Raw genomic sequence first — 7951 nt, 5'->3', positions numbered from 1 at the left:
ACTTTGGTTGATTAATTGATTCATTAACTTAATAAATAAGTACAGAGTACTATGTGCCAGGTATGGTAAACCAAGCTGAAAACTTACCCATTGTCTCTGTCCTTATGGAACTCATATTTTGATTATTTGGATTATTGTCACCACAAAGGCACACTACAACTCTTGCATACATAGTTTGTTCCTTATTCTCTACAGTTGTTCCTATCATCAAACAACTCATCCTTTATGTATGTGCAACATTTGACTTTTTTTATCTCCACTATCAGTTTTACCTTTTTCTGCTTTTATTTCCCTTGTATTTTTATGCCTTTTAATATCACTTTAAACGTTCACTATGTCTGCACTTACAGTGTCTTAAAAAGTTTCTAATGTTTGAAAAACAGTTAACTCATACCTGTAGAAAGCACATCAACGAATGAAGTGCACGATAACCAAATGTGTAACAATCTGCTACAGTCACTAACATCATCTATTGGTGATCAGCTTTCACTCTGAAACACGGTTTTGTTCATATCTATGGAAATTCCTGAGTTAAAGTTTGTAAACTAAAAACAGAACATGTGTTTCATTATTTAGTTGAAGTAAAAAGAAATGATCAAGCAGTAACCAAAGACACAAAAATTAATAATTAAAAATTTTTGCCTTTAGAAACGTATTGCCTGGATGCGGAGACCATTATCTAAAAATAACTTTTAAAATATGTTATATATAAGGTATTAGTGGTGTAATAAATGAAGGTGTGTTGAATTATCTACAAAGAAGAGGTTACATTTGATGTGTGCCTTGAATACTTGGTAAGAGCTGGCTGAGCAGATGGGAAAGAATGATGTGGGCACAGGAAACAGCACATGCAAAGGCAGAGAGGTGGGAAGGTTGCCATGAGGCACAACATGGGAAAGAGAGAGGGAGCTGGAAAATAAATCAGGGTCTGAAGGTGCGGGGTGTTGTGTGTCATGCTAAGGAGGCTGTAGTTAATTCTATAACAATGAGAGCCCCTAGATGCTTTAAAGTTGACCTGTTCACGTTTAGGTTTTGGAACTGTCTGGCCAGTAGGCAAAGGAATATTTGTGCTGAGAGAAGGGTGAGGAAGTAGTGCTATTGTTGGAATATATTCCTTATTTTATTTTATTTTATTTTTTTGAGACCATTGCTTGTAACAGGATTATATTACAGTTTGTGATTTAAAATATCAATATGGAATATCCTACAGAGTGAAAATATGTCTCCCGAGTTACGTACAAGGTATCTATGCAATTATTGACTTGATTGCTTTCTAATAGTGCATTTTATTGCTGAAAACAACCCAATTCTCTGAAATTGGGCACTTTTTCTTTATCTGATCAATAGCACAAGCTTACGACTTGTAATTTCCAATACCTCCAGCTTATTTTGTGTAGACATACTTATTTCAAGTTCTTATTGTAGAAAGTGTGTTTGGTTCATTCATTCTTGTAATCCTGATATGCTTTTACACTTTAGTTATTTTATAAGCTAACATTGCTGAAGAGAGTAATTGGATTGAGCTTCAAATGAAAATAAATCTAAAATTATTTTTCCTTACAAAAAGTCTAAAAAATTATTAACAAATTTGTAAACTCTAAAGATGTGCAAAAACCTATGCTAAGGTCAATATAATGCCTTTTTTCATCTTGGCTTTATTTTTAAGAAAATAAAATTTAGAGTTGCTATAAAATCCTATTGTAAATTCAATTTAAAAATTCAACACTGAGTATAAAATCTCTAACACTATGAATGCAGATATTGGTGGAGCATCTTGTCATAGTATACATAGTGCTCTTATGAAATTAAAAAATGTGTAGAGATATCTATTTGGAATTGGTTGTCAAAATGTATAATTATTTAAACACAAATTTAGAATAACTAAACTATAATTCTTTTGTGAAAACGGTGACATTGAATAAAAAAATGGCAATGCATATTTTTTCCCTGTACCTACCGGTAATTAGATGCTAAAATACACTTGAGCTTAAACCAATCTAGTTTACAATGGAATTGCAGTGTTTGTAAATATGTCCTTTAGATGTTGGCTCATTTTTTTTTCAAATTTGTTGGAAATCTTTAATCAAAATATTTAATAAATGTGGTCCTAAAACTGAAGTTTTCAAAGCTTTTTAACAAATCTCAATTATTGAGAACAGTGCTTGAGACAGGAAAACAATGATGTTTATATCCCTAAAGTAAAGAAGAAAATGATCCAATTAAATGACATGAGCTCTGGTGGATTCAAGATTTAATTTGTAAATTCTATAATGGTATTTTAGAATATCCTGACTTGTGAGAAAAAAACTTTTAATAAAACTCCTATTTTAATTGAACAGTTTAAAAATTCTGTATTGGAATTGAAATGAAATTGAGAGGGCCTACAATTTTGCAGTGTTTAAATTTGGAAAAATATTCAAAGGATCATAGAGACAACTTATTTTAATAAGTTTTGCACAAAATGAAGTTCTCTGGAGAACTCTGGATGAAATTATTTGTGCTGTAAAATTAATCTATTTCAACACAAAAAATAAAAATAGAAATGAGAATAACCTTCATTTAGCAGGTATTTTTCTGAGTATGTCAAACCTTTGGAAAATATATTTCTCAGTAAAGTATATTTTCTATAGAAAATTAAATTAAAAGTGTTATAATTTCAAATTTACTTCTCATAAAATACAATTTTACAAAATATTGCAGGATATTTTCTAAAAAACTTAAAAAAATGAAAAACTTTCTCAAAAATATTATTTTAGGGATAGAAATATGTATCAAGAATAGTTAACATATGTTATTTTTAATATTCAACTAATCAATATATTTTAATTTATGTGTTTAATTTTTGTTTTTTGAAAATTATAATTTATATTAATTTTATTAAAATAATTTTTGAATAAAACTATTTTACAGATTTACCAATCTAATAAAACAAATTGTCTGTTAATAAATAAATAATTCATAAAGTATATATCTTCATTATTTTAGTAATTTTGCTCATACTCAGAAGTATCCTGGCTAACAATAAATTATACAGTCACTTTATTTAACAGCTGCATGACCTTGAGAAAATCATCACTTCCATTAACCTTTAGTTTTCTCATCTAAGAAATAGAGATGATATTACCTATCTCAAACTTAATTATGAGGTATAAAGTAAATAATGTATATAAAGTGCTGATCACAGTACTTGCATATAATTATCATTTGATAACTAGCAATATTATTAACATAATGGTTCTTTTAAAAGAGGCTAGTGTTTTTTTTTTCTTCCCCCTAAGATGGTAGAGTACAGGCTTTTAGCGTGCCTCACTCACTTGGAAATAGCAAGATAGTGTATAAAGATAAACTCTATGAACTTTAATTCAAGAAGGAAAATGGGAATCCACTGGAATCATGAAGGACATCCCAGATCCCAGGGAGGAGAACGAGAGCAAACAGCCCCTCTGACGGCATCTGGCTGATAAAAGTGAGTGAAGCCCCAGTACATGAGAGAGGCAGAGAGTCTCCCTCTGTGACTCACCTTTCCCTTAGGGATCTGAGCAGCCCAGGCTGAGGGACAGCACTTTATTTCTCCCAAGTCCTGGAGCTAACTTGGGGAGAGGCTTGGAGATGCTGTGAGAGAAAGATACTGGGAGAAGCTGCAGGCATTTTCCCAGACCCAGGACTGAGAACAGGATGCCGTTTTTAATCTAGGTGCTTACAAGGTCAGGCATTCTTTGGAGACCCGGCAGCATGGCCATGCAGGCATTTAGTCTGCCTAAATGCAGAAGTTCTAGTCTATAGTGATTATCTATTATAACTTCGATGGTAATAAAATAAAGTAAAAAAAAATTTAAAAAGAAAAATAATAGATGCTACAATCAGACAATCGACAAGTATTTAAGGAACATTTTCCACTTGCATAACATTATGCTAGCTATTATGACAAATGCAGGGATAAAACAGACTCTTACAGCCTGCTAGAGGAGATACCATTTACATTCATGAAAAATGACTATGTTTAACCTATTATAGTTTTAATTACATATCTGTGTGGTTACAGAAGTAGAAAGGAGTTCGGGATAGGAGTGACTACTGTGACCTGGGGTTATCATTTAATCTTTACAATATGCTTAGCACTATGTAAGAAACTGAAAATACAAGAAGACAGAGTTCTTATTCTCAAGAAACTCAGAATCTCCTGAACCAAGGTAAGCTTCAGGTATCAGGTGAGATACACTATTCTGGGCGGTAGAATAGAACTTCACATACAGGGATAAGCATTGTAGGTGGAGTGAGCTTTGTTTATGAGGGTGGTTGGCTTGGCTGGAGTGGAGGGAGCATTGGAGAGTGATGGGAGGTAAGCCTGAGTAAGCAAAGTAAGAAATTCCACAATAAAAACACTTGGGATTGCTTTCTGAGCATAGCATTTGTGTGTAGTCTGGCATAAAAGTATATTTCTGAAGACCTGCTAGGTTGCTAAGTTTTCTGTTAGTAGCTTTATAATTCTTACATTCCTCCTGTATTACACGGAGAACAAATAATATGGGCTTTACTCTTGTTAACACTTGTTCCTGTATCAACCAGTTCTCAATCATGTGGAAAGATGGCATTAGCAGCCACACTATGGTGTGGAGTTATTATGTGGGTAGATTTTTTCACACATATGACACAAAAAACATTCTGCACAATAGCATATTAGACCTCATTTCTTTATTTAATAGAAGGAAACCAAGGTCCATAGCAGTTGCCTAAGATCCCACTCAATGTGTGGAGGGCCGGGACCCAAACTATATTCTCCTGATGCCTGGCAGGGGCTTTTTCCACTACATCAGCATCTCCACGATGGGATCCCAGGAATACTCATTCCAGAGGTGTTAATTGGGGCTTACAGAACAAAAGTTTCTAGGGAGAAAAATAACCTTGGAAATATTGCATGTTAAATTCTTCTCTTGAAGATCCAAAGTTCACAGTAGTGCATTAAAGACAAGAGTTCCAACAGTAAAGAAGAAACTTATTTAACAATGTTAAATAGTTAAAATGACTTATTTGTAGAAAAGACTTTTCTTTGTATACCTTTCTAATGGGAAATTATTTTCCCTTAAGTTTGAAATGACTTCACTGTCTTCATCCTCATTTCTCAAATTTAGGGTAGCCCAATAGGCTTTGCTGTGGGTAGCTGAGATGAGGAGGGCCAGGATTCCTACTGAAAAGACAGCAGACGGGTTTCACAGCAGGGCTTCAGCCTCAGAGGTGATTGAAGGAATAACTGGAACCCTGTTTTATTGAGTGTCACCAGACTGATGAGGCTTGTACTGGGCTGAAATATGAGCTAAGTGTATCTTGTTTCTCACTTACTGAAAGCAGTGTGGCCAGCAGTTGAGAACTAGATCTATGTATCAGCTAGCCTTGTTCTTGCCCCGTAGTAACTCTGTGATATTGGGGAAGTTATTTCAGCTTTTGAGCCTCCCTTTTCTCATCTGTAGGATAGAGCTAATGATTCCTAAGTCTTAGAATTTTTGTAAGGCTGAGATGCTGTAATATAGAACATCTAATGTGTTACATATAATGTATGATATATATTTTTTGTAAGGTTCCTAGCAGAATTCTTGGCACATAGTTTGTGCTTGTGTTCAGCTCTATGGGTATTATGTGATAGCTCCTGCTTACAGAGTGAATGTGACAGGCCTATATGAGTGCCTTTACACATGTAAATATATATGTAACACACATGTACATAGTATGCTTTATATTTGTATATTAGAAATAATAGCTGCCATTTAGTGAAATTTCCTGTATGCCAACCACTCTACTAATGCTTTTTATGAGTTACCTCATTTAATCTTGTCAATGATCAGGTTCATTCTTTTAATATTTACATTTTATGGAGCAGAGAATTGAGGCACAGAAGGGTTACATAACTTTCCCAAGGTTATATTATTAATACATTGGCAGAGCCAGGCTTCAAATCCAGTAAAATGCTGTGCTTTTCTGCCTCTTTAATCAAGATAAACTATAGATTCATTTTTATTTTTATTTATTTATTTTTATTTCATCTTATTATTATTACACTTTAAGTTTTAGGGTACATGTGCACAATGTGCAGGTTTGTTACATATGTATACATGTGCCATGTTGGTGTGCTGCACCCACTAACTCGTCATTTAGCATTAGATGTATCTCCTAATGCTATCCCTCCCCCCTCCCCCTGCCCCACAACAGTCCTCGGAGTGTGATGTTCCCCTTCCTGTGTCCATGTGTTCTCATTGTTCAATTCCCACCTATGAGTGAGAACATGCGGTGTTTGGTTTTTTGTCCTTGCCATAGTTTGCTGAGAATGATGGTTTCCAGTTTCATCCATGTCCCTCCGAAGGACATGAACTCTTCATTTTTTATGGCTGCATAGTATTCCATGGTGTATATGTGCCACATTTTCTTAATCTAGTCTATCACTCTTGGACATTTGGGTTGGTTCCAAGTCTTTGCTATTGTGAATAGTGCCACAATAAACATACGTGTGCATGTGTCTTTATAGCAGCATGATTTATAATCCTTTGGGTATATACCCAGTAATGGGATGGCTGGGTCAAATGGTATTTCTACTTCTAGATCCCTGAGGAATCGCCACACTGACTTCCACAATGGTTGAACGAGTTTACAGTCCCACCAACAGTGACAAAGTGTTCCTATTTCTCCACATCCTCTCCAGCACCTGTTGTTTCCTGACTTTTTAATGATCACCATTCTAACTGGTGTGAGATGGTATCTCATTGTGGTTTTGATTTGCATTTCTCTGATGGCCAGTGATGATGAGCATTTTTCCACGTGTTTTTTGGCTGCATAAATGTCTTCTTTTGAGAAGTGTCTATTCATATCCTTCGCCCACTTTTTGATGGGGTTGTTTGTTTTTTTCTTGTCAATTTGTTTGAGTTCATTGTAGATTGTGGATATTAGCCCTTTGTCAGATGAGTAGGTTGCGAAAATTTTCTCCCATTTTGTAGGTTGCCTGTTCACTCTGATGGTAGTTTCTTTTGCTGTGCAGAAGCTCTTTAGTTGAATTAGATCCCATTTGTCAATTTTGGCTTTTGTTGCCATTGCTTTTGGTGTTTTAGACATGAAATCCTTGCGCATGCCTATGTCCTGAATGGTATTGCCTAGGTTTTCTTCTAGGGTTTTTATGGTTTTAGGTCTAACGTTTAAGTCTTTAATCCATCTTGAATTAATTTTTGTATAAGGTGTAAGGAAGGGATCCAGTTTCAGCTTTCTACATATGGCTAGCCAGTTTTCCCAGCACTATTTATTAAATAGGGAATCCTTTCCCCATTGCTTGTTTTTCTTAGGTTTGTCAAAGATCAGATAGTTGTAGATATGCGGCATTATTTCTGAGGGCTCTGTTCTGTTCCATTGATCTATATCTCTGTTTTGGTACCAGTACCATGCTGTTTTGGTTACTGTAGCCTTGTAGTATAGTTTGAAGTCAGGTAGCATGATGCCTCTGGCTTTGTTCTTTTGGTTTAGGATTGACTTGGCGATGCGGGCTCTTTTTTGGTTCCATATGAACTTTAAAGTAGCTTTTTCCAATTCTGTGAAGAAAGTCATTGGTAGCTTGATGGGGATGGCATGGAATCTATAAATTACCTTGGGCAGTATGGCCATTTTCATGATATTGATTCTTTCTACCCATGAGCATGGATTGTTCTTCCATTTGTTTGTATCCTCTTTTATTTCATTGAACAGTGGTTTGTAGTTCTCCTTGAAGAGGTCCTTCACATCCCTTGTAAGGTGGATTCCTAGGTATTCTATTCTCTTTGAAGCAATTGTGAATGGGAGTTCACTCATGATTTGGCTCTCTGTTTGTCTGTTATTGGTGTATAAGAATGCTTGTGATTTTTGCACATTGATTTTGTATCCTGAGACTTTGCTGAAGTTGCTTATCAGCTTAAGGAGATTTTGGGATGAGACAATGGGGTTT

This window comes from Homo sapiens, chromosome 6 (genome assembly GCF_000001405.40).
Source record: "Homo sapiens chromosome 6, GRCh38.p14 Primary Assembly".
In the NCBI taxonomy this organism is placed as follows: domain Eukaryota; kingdom Metazoa; phylum Chordata; class Mammalia; order Primates; family Hominidae; genus Homo; species Homo sapiens.
The sequence above is the reverse complement of the archived record's forward strand: the minus strand, read 5'-3'. Positions refer to the sequence as shown.